Genomic DNA, 14,023 nt, shown 5'->3' with positions numbered 1-14,023 from the left:
TGGGGTGAAAAAAGAAGATTCTCCCTTGGGGTGGCTAAGAGGCCCAGCTCTCCAAAGAGAAAGCAGCTCACCTCTAAAGCCCCTGCATCATTTCCCATAAAGAACAGGACAGTTTTGAGTCAGCCACAAACATGTCATCACACATTGAGCATCTATGTGTGTGTCGGGAACACGCAACAGCAGGAATTCCACTAGCAATAATAACATTATTAAGTGCTCATTGCCTCTCAGGCAGTCTGTTGGGTCTTTACATATATCATCTCATTTAATCCTCATAGCATGAGGAAAGTAATTCACCATTCCCATTTTACAGATGAGGAAACCGAAGCTTAGAGGTTCTATAGCTGGTAAGCAGCAGAACTGGGATCTGAATTCTGGTCTGACTTCAGAGTCTAAGCTCTTAGCCATGAAACCAGCATTCTCATAGCAGAGTCCAGGAACCACATGCTGAGGATCTCCCCATAATGCTTGATAAAAACGCAGCATCCTGGCTGGGCTTACGGAATCAGAACATCAGGGAATGGGGCCAGGAGGCTGCCATTGGCAATCTTTCCAGATGGTTCTGATGCACGGAATGTTTGAAATCCCTCACACTGTGCTGTACTGTCCACTAAGTTGGGAGAAGGGGACATTGCGTGGGGGGTAGGCGGGGAGGGAGCATCAGGTGAGAAGGCCCCAAACAGCATACGGTACTGCATGATGCACTAAGGATTTGGAATTACTTCCGTTAAAAGAGCATCCCTTGGAAAGCTGCCCCAGTGCCTGGCGGCTGTCCTCACACTCTGCCTGCATTAGCTGAGGCCTAACCAGTGAGCTACCCAGCCCCAGGCCTGAGCTGTCCAGGCCCACACAAGAGTCCTCACAGGGACAATGTTCCTATTGCCAGGACTGTCGCTAACTCATCCTGAGGATAACTCTGCTTCCAACCCTCCCTAATTCCTCCATTGAGCAGCTGCCCTCAGAAGTCTCCTCTCTTTCCCCTTGCTGCAGACCTCATCTCTACCTGCCGGAATTCTCAGCACTGCTCTTCTTACTAGGTAACTAGCCCTGAGATGAGGCTTCACTAGAGCTAGTGGCAGCGATTTTCTGGGTGGGGTGTTGGGTGGTACTGCCATCTTCTGAGGCACAGAAATAGAAAAGGGAGGCATGTGGCCAGGTTCCAAGTGATCCACGACAAGCCACACAGGCCCTTCTGACTCACTGAGGCAGCAGCAGGTGGCCTTTGAGAAACAGTGAGACAGAACAGTCCCTTCTGGCCTGGAAATGCCAGCAGGTGGGGGTGGGGGCAGGCTGCTGCTAAGATCTGGGGTTCATTTTACCCCTCTGCAGACTCCACAACCTGTTTCTGCCCCATCATCTCCCTGGGAAACGTGTGGGACCCACTTACTTGCAACCCACACACCCTCAGGGCTGTGACTCAACTGGCACTCACGGCAGCCTTCAATATTATTTTTAACCTGACTTCACCTGATTTGTGGGGGGTGGGGTGGGGACCAGATTTGCCTAGAAAACTCCACTAATAGGGCTGGTCCAAGCCGAAAAGGAAGGAGACAAAGTCTTCTTTCCAGCACCTCGAAGAGCCTTTCCCCTGCGTGAACCTGAGAGAAAGAGGCCGGGTCGGCCTACGAAATGGGCGCCAGGAAAATCATCCACAAACTGATGTGCATTCACTGCCTCTTTTTTCTGGCTCACCTGTCTGGCCATGTTTTGTCTTGGGATGACTCCTCGCATCCTATGTTGACAACACCTGGCCAGAAGGGAAGGCAGCCCTAAGCCCGGGGAGCTTCAGAGATGGCAGCCTACACGCAGGCCGGAAGCACCCCAGATGCCTCTCGCATCTGCCAGCGGAAGTCTCCACCTCTTCCGCCCACCATGCCCTTCCTGCATATGTTCCCGAGGATCAGGGGAAGGCCTGCAGATGAGCGGTTGGTCTGTTTGGCATTGGCTGAGCCACACGGCAAGTCTTGTTCATTCTCCATCTGGCTGTCTCTGTGAACTTTGCACTGAACTCTTTCCAGCTGCGTCGGCGGCAGCTCTCCTGCCAGGAGGACCCAGTGCCAGGGAGAACAGAATAATTGCCTCTCGTGTTGTGCATGCAGAGCCTTCATTAACGTGTCCCCGGAGTGGCATTTGCAGCCCTCTGTCACAGCAGCCTGCCATTGAATACCACAAAACTCATCACCCTCAGATTCTCCACTGTCTTGAAAGAGCCAGTTAGCCCTTTGTTTCTTCGAGCTGCTTTGGCTCATTCGGAAAGTCATGTCGGTGTCCCTGTTATTATTTACATAGAGGAGGTTTCTCTGTTGTCTTGCTCACCAAATAGCGCATGTAAGTGGCCTGGCCCAGTCACTCTTGTTTTCTTCCTTTTTGACACAAGGAAGCCATGCTTCTAAGGAGACAGGTGACAAAGAGTGTGGGGTGGAGGGGCACAAGTAGAAATCAAAAGTCATGGCATTTAGTCTTGGTGCTGGGTTTTAGTCGTGGTGCTGCCATTGGTGAGGTGTGTAACCTTGGGCAAAACTACACATTTCCAAATGTCATTTTCTTCCTGTACAAAATAAGGGGTTGGCATTGACACACGGATTCACAGAATCTTTGAGCACTTCTCATCTACCTGTCATTTTTATAGATAAGTAAGCAGGCCCAGAGTGGCCATTCAACTAACCCAAGATCATGTAGCTAACTAGTGTTAAGACTTGGGACCCAGCATTCAGACCTTCTACCTCCTGGATTTGGGTGGGATTGGATGAAAGAGGGAAACTTTTTAAGAGAGCCAAGGCACAGTGACGGGATTACACTCTCTGTGCATGCAGAGAAGTATGTAGGGGTGACTTTTCCTTCACATCAAATATTCCAGGGTTTAGAATAGTAGTTCTATCCACCCCAGGGCAATTTCATCCCTTAGGGGACATATTTGGTTGTCATAGTTGGGGTGGCCGAGGAGAGAAGGGGAAAAATTCCACTGGCATCTAGCAGAGACTAGAATACTACAATACACAGGGCAGCTCCCACAACAGAGAATGATCCAGTCCAAAATCTCAACAGTGCTGCGGTAGAGAGCCCAGTTAGACACAAGCCCCCTTCTCTACTGCCAGTATTCTCTAGAATTTTAAACATTCTTGCTTTCTTACCTTCAGTCACAAAAGCACTATTTTTTTTTTTGCTGATTTTGTTACTGATGTTGGTTTTAAAAATATGATTTTTTTTCTTGAGTATACAAATTACCCAACTCATTTTTTTTTTTTTTTGAGATGGAGTCTCGCTCTGTCGCCCAGGCTGGAGTGCAGTGGCGCGATATCTGCTCACTGCAAGCTCTGCCTCCCGGGTTCACGCCATTCTTCTGCCTCAGCCTCCCGAGTAGCTGCGACTACAGGCGCCCGCCACCACGGCTGGCTAATTTTTTTGCGTTTTTCATAGGGACGGGGTTTCACCGTGTTAGCGAGGATGGTCTTAATCTCCTGACCTCGTGATCCGCCCACCACGGCCTCCCAAAGTGCTGGGATTACAGGCCCAAACTCATTTTAAAGAATAGAAAATTCAGAAAGACACACACACTAAAATCAATCAGGTATCATCCCACCATCCAAGGGTAAGAATATTTTGGTATTTGGTATTTTTTTCATATTACCTCAGATTCACAGGGCACACCCTGCTTTCTCTGTTTCGTGGCTTTTCTCAACAATTCTCTTTTCCACCCTATCCCCATTAGTACCTGTTGAAATCTCACCCTCGCTTCAGTTACCTCAAATAGCATTCCTCCAGGAAGTGTCACATACCACTCAGAACCCCAGCTGCGCTGGAAGCGAACTCTCCTGCCTTTATATTCCTGTAGCACTTTGTAGCTCACAGATGTCAATTTTGACACTTTTAAAAATATTCCAGTTATGTGTAAATTCCTGAGGGTAGGGATTAGATTTTAGTCTGTTGAAAGTGTGTCCCCCCACCCTTCTCTCTCTGTCTCTTACTCACATACACATACACACAAACACACATACACATGCACTCTCTCTCTCACACACACACTACAGTGCAAGCACAGCACTTAAGATGAGCTCCACCCCCTTTCCTCTCCTGATATCATCGTACTCTTACTTTCAGAATAAATAACCATCCTTTAGTCACAGAGAACATTTCAATCATTGGTGGCTTTGGTTGCTCCATCATTTGCAATTATTCTAGTGCTCTTCTTTCTATGTGAATTTTGAAGATGTTTAATATTTTAATAAAAATGAAAAGTTTTAACTTAAATATCCCTTATTATGTGTCAGCTGTTTTGGGGATAGATGGTTATTTAAGTTTTCTGATTCAATCCAAACTGTGGAAAAGCATGATTGGCACTTTTTTTACAAATGTGAACACTGAGGCTTAGCAAGGTAACCTAACTTGTGCAGGGTTGTCTGACTAATTAGAGGAGGCACTGGGATTTAACCCAGGGTTACCTGGCTCCAAGACTATGTGCACCACCTTGAAGCTTCCCAAGCGCCAAGGAATCCACTTGCCTCTACTCATCTCTTTTTCTACAGTAAGAGGCAGCAGGCAGGTGCATTAGTGCCTATGGTCTAATGATCTGGGTGGCCCCAGGCAAGGCAAAGAGAGGTCACAGAGTCCAGCCCAACTCCTTGGCGTGGGAACCTCTGGCTGGGTAAGCTTCTTGGGAGCCTCTTGAATGCGTGTGCAATCCAAGGTCACAGGAAGCCAAGCATTCCCAGGCCTGTGGGCACGTGGCATCTTGAAGTCTATTCTCTTGGTCTGATACTTCCCAATGCCTTGTACTAAGTGTGTCACACGGGAGGGGGATAATGGGTGACTCACCCCACAGACACTTGTCTACTGGAGGGCCAGCATCCTATTTCTCCTTAGCAGGGGGCTGACCATGGCAGGGGCATGACCTTACCAGGGCAGGTTGGGGCTGAGCTCTGACAGAAGAGGACACATCTCTTCTTCCAAACTATCCCTTCTTTCCCAGTCAAGCTCAGCCTTGCTCTCCAAGGTTCTGAAGTCGTTTCCAATACTGAGGAGGGTTTCTCCCATTTTTTTGCAGTGTGGCAGACCAAGTACAGGCTCTGCTTCAGGTTTAGCTTTGTATCAAGCCCAGTTCTGCCAATGAGGTGATCTTGAACAAGTTGCTTGCCTTCTCAGAGCCTCAGCTTCTCCATCTGTAAAATGGTAAAAATGACACCCAACCTCCAAGGGCTGGAATGAGAATTCAGTGAATGATGGATAGAAACTGATATCATGCTAAAAAATCTCTCTCCTTTTTTCTTGTAGACATCAGAGGATGGTGGGAGGGTGGTTTGAAAATGTGGGAGAGGGGGCTGGGCGAGGTTGCTCATGCCTGTGATGCCAACACTTTGGGAGGCCGAGGTGGGCAGATCACCTGAGGTCAGGAGTTGGAGAACAGCCTGGCCAACATGGTGAAACTCCATCTCCACTAAAAATACAAAATTAGCCAGGCATTGTGGTGCACACCTGTAGTCCCAGCTACTTGGGAGGCTGAGGCAGGAGAATAGCTTGAACCTGGGAGGTGGAGGTTACAACGAGTCAAGTTCGCACCACTCAACTCCAGCCTGGGCAGCAAAGCGAGACTGTCTCCAAAAAAAGAAAAGAAAAGAAAAGAAAAGAAAAGAAAAGAAAGAAAGAAAGAAAGAAAGAAAGAAAGAAAGAAAGAAAGAAAGAAAGAAAGAAAGAAAATGTGGGAGAGGAAAGTGGGTTGGAATGGAGAGGCTGGGAGGGGCAGGCAAGGAGTGGCCCATTCCTTCCCATAAGGTTTTCTTTTCTTTTCTTTTCTTTTCTTTTCTTTTTTGAGATGGAGTCTCACTTTGTCGCCCAGGCTGGAGTGCAGTGGCTTGGCTCACTGCAAGCTCTGCTTCCCGTGTTCCCTCCATTCTCCTGCCTCAGCCTCCCGAGTAGCTGGGACTGCAGGAGCCTGCCACCACGCCCGGCTAATTTTTTGTATTTTTAGTAGAGACGGGGTTTCACCGTGTTAGCGAGGACGGTCTCGATCTCCTGACCTCGTGATCCGCCCGCCTTGGCCTCCCAAAGTGCTGGGATTACAGGCGTGAACCACCGCGCCCGGCCCCCATTTGGTTTTCTACCTGGAACCCGGGTGGAGGAGAATCCTTCTGCTGGTTACTGGCAACCACACTCAAATACAATCAGTCATTTGTACAGATTAAACCTGCTGCTCTAAATCACTGTGTGGGCTTAGGATCAGCTTCACTCCATTTCCATGAGGCAGTGGAACCCAGTGGTTAGAAGAACAGGTTCCACCTCTGTGTAGCCTTGGTCAAGTCCCTCAATCTTCGAGCCCCCGGTTTCTCATCTGTAAAGTGGGGATGTTAATATCTTATTAGGTTGCCTGGATGATTGAATTAGATCCTGCATAGGTTGTGCTTTGCTCAGAGCCTGACTTATAGGATGTGCTTCATCAAGGCAAACCTGCTGTTCATTCTTGCTATTGTTGTTATCATTGTTCCTAGCTGCAGATGGTGTTCTTAACCTGGGCCGCCTGTCTTGGAGACATGCCCATTGGGAGAGTGTGGCCAATTCACCAGGGGCCCTCAGCCCCACGCCTGGCAGCCACATCATTCACCAGATGAGCCAGCCGGGCCAGCCTCATGACTGAGGGACAGCTGCCCAGGTGTTAGTAGAGGCTGCATTCCAGTGACATTCCTCCTTGGCAGAAACTTCAAAACTAGAGGGAGACATTACTCAGGCAGGCTGGTAAGGCATTCCAGGCTTTCAGACCTCAGGCTTGCAAGACAAACTTAACCTGATGGTAACATAGAGTGTAATAAGAAGCATCAACTGCACTCCTGCCCATCTTTGGCAGATGGAGTGCTGGAGAGGGCAGTAGAGCATGGAGGCTGATGGGAACCCTCATCCACTCAGGCCTTGCACGAAGCCCTTGAAGACAGAACTCTGGTTCTTTCACGAGAACGACCTAGGGACAGGCTTCCCCTCTTCCATATGCAAAGCTGCTCCCCTCCTGCTCCTTCTCTGCCTTTTGAGGAAGTCACCTGGGGTGGGGGTGGGGACTCAGTTGACCTTTCTGCCTGGTGTCTCTCCTGGTAGAATGCAGACTCTTGGAGCCTCCCTGTTATGATGGGCAGCCACGTAGAGGCTGGATCCTTCAGTTGGGGGACTTTTAGTGGCCCCTGTTGTGGACCTGACCTCACTCTTGGTCTGCAGGTACCCAAATGGGAAGGGCCCTAGGCGAGCTCATGGTGTAAGGGAGAGGGGCAGGCATATAGACAAAGCAGACAAAGTCCATGAATCGGTGGAATAGCATCATGCCTAGGAGCACAAAACCACCCTAAGGTCTAAGGGTCTTGCCACCTAGTAGCTGTGTGGTCACTGGCAAGTCACTGAACCTCTCTGTGCCCCAGCTTCCTGTAAAAATTTTGATAACTGCACCCACCTCATAGGGCAATTTTGTGAGGATTAAATGAGTTAACATGAAAAGAGCCATTTGGAACAGGGCTGGTCTGCAGCCTGTTCTGTCTCTGTGTTAGCTCTCAGCACCAAGTGCTCCAGGTGCCACAGACACGGAGTCAGGTGACCAGGAGGGACTGAAACTAGGAGTGGCAGGGCTGAGGGGTCACTATGGTGGTAAAAAAAAAGACTCCAAAAGGAAGTGGTGCTTAAACCAAGCCTTGAAATCTGAGTTGTTGACAGTGAGTGGGGGAACAGAGGGACAGAGGCTGACCCATGAGGGCAACAGGACATGGTTTGGATTCACCAGAGCCCAAGAGTGAGGTTGGGAGAGAGGGGGCTGGAGAGGGGCACAGGGGCTGATCCCAGAGGTCCATGAAGGCCAGCACGTGCTTAGAAAGGTGGCAGTGGCCCGGGGAGCGTGGCTGGGAGAGGGCAAGAGTGGAGGCAGGAGAACCAATTTGGACAGGAGGTGGCTGTGAGTCCAGAGCAGAGATGAGCGATGGTGAGGGTTGACCTGGGCAGCAAGGCACTCGGGCATTAGAAGGCTCAGGATGAGCGATGGTGAGGGTTGACCTGGGCAGCAAGGCACTCGGGCAATAGGAGGCTCAGGCCTCTGTGGCGCCAAGTGTGGCAGTGAGGCAGAGGGAGGCCTCAGGACGTGGCTCAGTCTGGCTGGTGGGACCCAGGGGATGGGCTACTTTGTTCTCAGAGAGAAGGGGCTGAGAAAAAAGAAAAAGGGGAGGCAATGGACATGCAGTGAGCACCTGTGACGTGCTAGGTGCTAGGACGGATGGTGTTCGCTTAACCCTCAAGCCATCTCTCCAAGGTGAGAATAAAAGTCCTCCCCAAACAGGAAACTGAGGCCCAGAGGGCGTCCGTGACTTGCTGAAATTCACACAGCCTGGAAGCGTGGGCTCCGGCTCTCTGACTTCTAGTTCTTCAGGCTGCCTGTTTATCTTCAGCTGTCTTCAGGCAAACCAGCCTGTGGGAGGACAGCCCCACGCCTTCGCCCGTGTGAGTGTGCCCCAGCAGAAACACTGCTGTTGAGTCAGACGATACAAACCGACATCGCCTCACGTGACTTACAGATATTTTCATTTTTGCTTACTTTTACTCGGCCAAGAACTTCAAAGGAGCATAATTCCTGGAGGATTTGTTCATCGACGTGTCACAGGAGAGCCTATGAGCAGGAAGGAAATGGGCTCAGAGACCAAAACATCTGTCCCCCGTATTTCTTGCCAGATTCCGGAGCTGAGACTCCTGGGGCTCACCTGGAGCCTGGGTTTCCCTCCACTTTGAAGGCTTGACCACCCCCGCATGGGCTGGAGCTTAAGACCATTGACCCAATCCTTCCTTTGGGGTGGGGGAAGGTGTCCACAGGAAGCATTTCCAGCACTGGGAAGGTGCCTCAGTAGCTCGACCCTATAGCAGGGCTCCTGGGAGGAGGAGAACAATTCATCAGTGCCTGCCAGGTGCTACACCGCTTATGTCTCACAGAAACACGAACGTCATTGTCTCTGTGAGGATGAAAAACCAGGGGCTCAGAGATGTTAAATAAACTGGCCCAGGTCACACAGCTAGGACGGCATTGATCCGACATTCCTACAGGTCTCGGGAGCCCCCCTCGGCCCCTCTCCAGTCCAGAGGGAGGCACTTGCTGCGCTTATAAAAGTCTTTACTTGTTTGAAGCCCAGTTCCTCTCAGGTGTTGCTTTTTTCTGTTTCTTTTCTTTTTTTAGGCCTTGGGGGTTGGGATGGGAGACCAAAGGTGGAGTTGTGCTATTTTACACAACTGACTTGGCTTGCACGTCATCTAAACACCAAGTTCCATTCTCAGAGGAAGTGAGAGGTGTCCAATTCGGTCATGCAGAACGCAGCTGGGCTGCTCGAAACGAAACAAAGCGGCTACTCCGAAGGAGGTGTTGTCCCTGGGCCGGTCCAGGTTGAGTCAGAGCAGACGCCACTCCCACGTCAAAAATACCAGGCCACTGTCCCAGGGAGCTGGGCTATTCACTGAGGTCATTTTCACCCCACTTCTGAAATCCACATTAAAGGAAAAAAGAAAAGGGAAGGGAAGGGGAAAAGGAAAGGAAAGGAAGCAGAAACCAGGATGGCGACAAGGAGAGCCACCCAGTCGGAGCAGCACCTGTGCACCTATGTGGGGTGTGCCGGGCACCTGACGGCCGCAGGTCCGGACAGTGCTTGTGCCTATCAGGCCATCTCAGCCTTGGTTATATTCAGGACCCAGGAGTGTATCTATGTTGTGTGGGGCCCAAAGACTTACAATTTGGGACACTCCTTAATAAAAAGAATACAAAAGTATGAAAACAAAATTAAGTACAAAAGTGGGTATTTACCTAGGAGGAGGGGGTGGGGAATCACAGCAAATTGCTGACACCCTACAGATTGGCCCCTTCCTTCAGCAATCTATGTAGGCAGTTTACCAGAAATGCGCACACAGCAATGCTTCCTGTTTGTCACCTGCCTTCCTTTCCCTGCCTAGAACACTCCCAGAGTCTCCCTGCTCTCTTGGGCAACGGAAGCTTGTGTCTCTTCATCTTTATGGTAAGAGCACCTCGGATGAGGCTTCTGAAAGCTGTGGGCTGGTGGACATCACCCAGGGCAGGTGTTCCTAACATTTTTGGGGTCTTGGTTGCCTTTGAGAATTGAATGAGAGTTATGGAACCTCCCCCAGAACAATGTCTACTCAAGTCTACCAAATTTTACCTACAGTTTTAGGGATTCTTAGATTCCCTAAAGCCTATCTGCAGATCCCAGATAGGGAACCGGTTACCTAGTGCGGTCCACTCATTTCACAGATGAGGCAACAAATCCCAAAGGGGTGAGCAACTTGTGCAAGGTCACCCAACTGGACTCGGATCCAGCTCTTGACTGCCTCCTTTTCTCTATTGTAACAGTTATGCCTTCAGCACTGGACAGGGAGTGGGGTCTTCAGGGGAAGGAGACCCCAAGTTAGGTCCCCTCAGAGGGTCTTTCTTATGTCTTTTCGTCTATCCTGGACACATATTTTTGCCTAGTGCAGCTCAGGGAGGGCAGGATGATGGCTTTGAAATACAAACACAGACAGGAAAAAAAGACTCCCACAACATGTGAGTATAAATGCAATAAGAAACATAAAGGAGAGAGAGAGAAAGCAAGAGAAGTTGTAAGCAAATAATATGCAAAGCTCCTGAGAAAGAACTTGGGCTGCTCTGTTTGGTAGCTGGAGACCTGGGGCCTGGGGAAATCCCAGAAAAAGTCAAATCTGATTGGGCCCTAGCTGAGGCCCTGTCCTCTCGCTTCGCTCTCTCCCTTCCTACCCACCTTGGTTTGGGGTCCGCTTGGTGCCCCAAGCTGTGTGCTTTGCAGGTGTGACTGCTTCTTCCTGCACAGCTTCTCCCTCCCCCAGCCTCAGCATCCCCCCCGCCCCGCGACCCCAAAGCTGCACAGCTGTCTGGATGCTTCCTCTGAGCCCCAACAAACTTAGATCTCCTGGTACCACCCCCCCCCCCTTGGCACCTGGCTCTTCTTTTTCATGGCATATAGAATCACTTACAGTTTTGTATTTATTTGTTTCAGGTCCATGTGCTTCTGTGAGACCTTAAGCTCTGTGTGAGCAGGGCCTAGGTCCTTGGTGCCTTTGGCCTGGCATGTGGAGGCTGTCTCCCATCCCTTGCTGATTTAAACAAATGGTGGCATCTGGAGGTTTGGATCAGGGCATAGGAATAAATGCCCGCTGGGCCACTCATTCCTGAAATCCTGTCCAGGCCTGAGTGCAACTGGGAGCTTGCTTAAGCCTTTAGCCTGTAGGCACAAACGGTAGATGAGCAGGTGGTCAGTGCAGTGAATGGGCCCAGATCCTCAGAGCGGAGCCACCAGCCAAGCAGGCGCAGACCTCCAGGGCTCCTCTGTGTATCTTTAAAGTGGGTTCTGGATGCTCCCTCCTTTTCTCAAGAGCCTGTCTCTGAGTTGTGAGGCTCCCTCAAATTCCCAGTTGGCTGGCTCACCAGCGGTCATGCCAGGGGCTGTCAGCCAAGGTCGTGAGTAGATGGCTGAGATGGGCATCCTCTGAGGGCTGCACACATCAGTAATGAGGAAGAAGCTCTGAAACAGCGCCCTCTCCTGTCCGCTGGACTCGCCTCCAGATAATGGAGCTGTCTTGAGGGAACAGCCTGTCGTTCATACTCCGTATTTTCCCTTTCATTCCATTTAGTGTAGGGTAGAGTGTATTCTTTTTCTTTTTTTCAACTTGACACCCATGACTCCGTGACAGATCGCCATCTGTCATGTGTGTGTGACTACCTCCCTACTAAGGGCCAGGGAGCCCTGATCAAGTATTCTTTCTTCTTCCTCTGTTTCTTCTCAGTGTTGGGTTGCTGGGGTGGGGAGGGGAAGGATTTATGTGATAAAGAAGCCTGAGGTACAACCTCAGTTGTACCTCAGTTTCTCTCCTCCCAGGCTTGCTGCCCGGGGAGCAGGGGCTGTAGAAGGAGAGCACTGTTACCAACTGTAGCCAAATTCACCTTAACAGTTTCTCACCCCGCCCTTGTCTCATCCACCCCCCCAGCAACTAGGAGCCAGATCTGACCACAGATACCCAGGGATGGGCGGGGGGGCCAGGGCCAGGTGAGTTCATCCCAGCAGGTGGGTGCCTGCTCCAGCCTGCCCCTTGCTTCCTCTGAAACACACTGCAGCAGAGCAGCCTCCTTCCCTCTCCCAACCTTAGATGAAATAATCAGTATGAAATTTTCTGTCTCCTGACAAGATGCCACATACTTAATTTTCTTGCACCAATCACCTCTGCAGGAAGATAGGAAATAAACTATGATAGGATAATTACACAGCTGAATACAACTGACTGGTGCTCTTGGGGGTGAGGTTGGGGGAGGGGGAGGGTACACCCAGCATTCTCATCCTCTCTAGTTAATCACGATGTGGCTTTCAGCAGAGCCACAGCCTCAGTAGAAGCGAGACGTCCTCATGGCTAAGTGACGAGTCTCTCAGCGTCATGACAGTGCCCAGCAGCCTCCCTCCCTGCCTTACTCAACGCTGACTATGCCTTAGATCACTGCATCGTGGCTTCAGCACTTTGTCTATGTTCCGGAAAAGCCTTTGCTCTGTCATAGCTTCCCTGACCTCCCAAGGCCAGTGCATCAAAACAGTCACCATCCTGAGAATAACGTTTCTGCTCCCAGGTGAGCGGCAGGCATCACACATCAGGGTGTCTGGGGCTGTCAGGAAAATGGTAAGGAAATATGCACGTGGAAAGAAACAGCTGGCACTTTTTACAGAATCTAGCACTGGGTGTTTATTGCGGCAGAGCTCCATACATTCTTGTTGAATGAATTGATGAATACCCAGGGTTCCTAAGGATATGAGCTGCTAAACTGGGGGGACTCTGCACACAGTCTCTGGCATGGATTGCCCAGCATCGAACCTTGGCTCTGCCCCTTGCTAGCTGTGTGAGCTCCAGCATACTTCTTGATCTCTCTGTGTGCCTACTTCCTCACCTCTAAAATGGGGATGATAATAATAATAATTAATAATTAAGCATTGTTATGTGTAAAGCACTTAAAATACTTCCTGGCACACAATGAGCACCGTGTTAAGTGTTTGCTATTGTTAAGACTACAAAAATAGTCACTCCAAGGAATTGAATGTTACTTTTAACCAGGAGCTGTGAATTTCCTTATCTGGTAGGCATTCACCCCTCCCACCCCCACAAGCTCCTGCCCCACGCATGACACCATCTACTGCAGGGATTTGCAGGTTTTACTGTAAAGGGTCAAATAATAAATATTTTAGACTTTGCAGATCACAGTTTCTATCCCAGCCACTCAACTCTGCAGCCATAGTGTGACAACATGTAAATGAGTGAGCAAGGCTATGTTCTAAGAAACCTTTTTTAATACAAAAGCAGGAGGTGGGTCAGATTTAATCCACTTTGTTAATTTCTGACCTATTGCAACTCATTTTACAAAACAACTGCTCAATTCCTACCTCTTCTAAGAGCCTACCTACTTGTACTTTCCCTCCCTGGACTTCAAAATCACTGGGCTTAGAGGGAGCTTAGTACCATGGAAAGAATATGCAAGAAATGTGGATTAAGCTCTGGCCCTGCTGCATGACTTTGAACAAAGCACTTACGATCTCTGGAGCCTCAGTTTACCCATCTGCAAAATAGATTTAAGATTCTTTTGTCTTACTTACCTAATAAGGCAGTTTGAACGTCCAATAGAGAAATGCATACGGATGTGACTTGCAAACTTGAAAGCACTACCCAGTGGAAGTACATCTGCACGGTGTCCCCAGTGCCCAGCCCAGTGCTTGGTACGCAGTCAGTGTTGACTGAACCAAATCCCAATGGTGGTATTAAGTACAGGTTTTTGTATCAGATAAATAGGTAAGTGCCTATGTATCTCCTTGGCTGGATGGAGAACTCGAGGGACACAGGCCTGAGGAGAAAGGACAGCATTTCTGAGGCAGGTTCCCCAGAAAGCTTATCTACTTGAGCTGTAGGTCAGAGTCATATTGCAATGGGTCTGGACTACAATGACAAGACTAAGGCATCTACAAATCTGGGCTTG

General features: G+C 49.7%; 8 annotated features.

The window, feature by feature from the left end:
- Positions 1,107-1,286: an enhancer, noted in NCBI's record as "active region_4014". NCBI's record gives its function as "activates an Ori minimal core promoter by ATAC-STARR-seq in GM12878 lymphoblastoid cells {active_cell/tissue: GM12878}" and the evidence as "EXISTENCE:reporter gene assay evidence [ECO:0000049][PMID:35858748]".
- Positions 8,229-9,428: an enhancer, noted in NCBI's record as "BRD4-independent group 4 enhancer chr10:112116377-112117576 (GRCh37/hg19 assembly coordinates)". NCBI's record gives its function as "activates an origin of replication core promoter dependent on BRD2, P300/CBP, MED14 and CDK7 cofactors, and independent of BRD4, by STARR-seq in HCT116 cells {active_cell/tissue: HCT116}" and the evidence as "EXISTENCE:reporter gene assay evidence [ECO:0000049][PMID:35650434]".
- Positions 8,229-9,479: a biological region, named in NCBI's record as "BRD4-independent group 4 enhancer GRCh37_chr10:112116377-112117576".
- Positions 8,490-8,539: an enhancer, noted in NCBI's record as "active region_4013". NCBI's record gives its function as "activates an Ori minimal core promoter by ATAC-STARR-seq in GM12878 lymphoblastoid cells {active_cell/tissue: GM12878}" and the evidence as "EXISTENCE:reporter gene assay evidence [ECO:0000049][PMID:35858748]".
- Positions 8,560-8,659: an enhancer, noted in NCBI's record as "active region_4012". NCBI's record gives its function as "activates an Ori minimal core promoter by ATAC-STARR-seq in GM12878 lymphoblastoid cells {active_cell/tissue: GM12878}" and the evidence as "EXISTENCE:reporter gene assay evidence [ECO:0000049][PMID:35858748]".
- Positions 9,020-9,479: an enhancer, noted in NCBI's record as "active region_4011". NCBI's record gives its function as "activates an Ori minimal core promoter by ATAC-STARR-seq in GM12878 lymphoblastoid cells {active_cell/tissue: GM12878}" and the evidence as "EXISTENCE:reporter gene assay evidence [ECO:0000049][PMID:35858748]".
- Positions 10,530-10,579: an enhancer, noted in NCBI's record as "active region_4010". NCBI's record gives its function as "activates an Ori minimal core promoter by ATAC-STARR-seq in GM12878 lymphoblastoid cells {active_cell/tissue: GM12878}" and the evidence as "EXISTENCE:reporter gene assay evidence [ECO:0000049][PMID:35858748]".
- Positions 11,410-11,499: an enhancer, noted in NCBI's record as "active region_4009". NCBI's record gives its function as "activates an Ori minimal core promoter by ATAC-STARR-seq in GM12878 lymphoblastoid cells {active_cell/tissue: GM12878}" and the evidence as "EXISTENCE:reporter gene assay evidence [ECO:0000049][PMID:35858748]".

Source organism: Homo sapiens, chromosome 10, assembly GCF_000001405.40.
Source record: "Homo sapiens chromosome 10, GRCh38.p14 Primary Assembly".
Lineage (NCBI taxonomy): Eukaryota > Metazoa > Chordata > Mammalia > Primates > Hominidae > Homo > Homo sapiens.
Note: the sequence above shows the minus strand (reverse complement) of the source record. Positions and strands in the feature narration are given on the sequence as shown.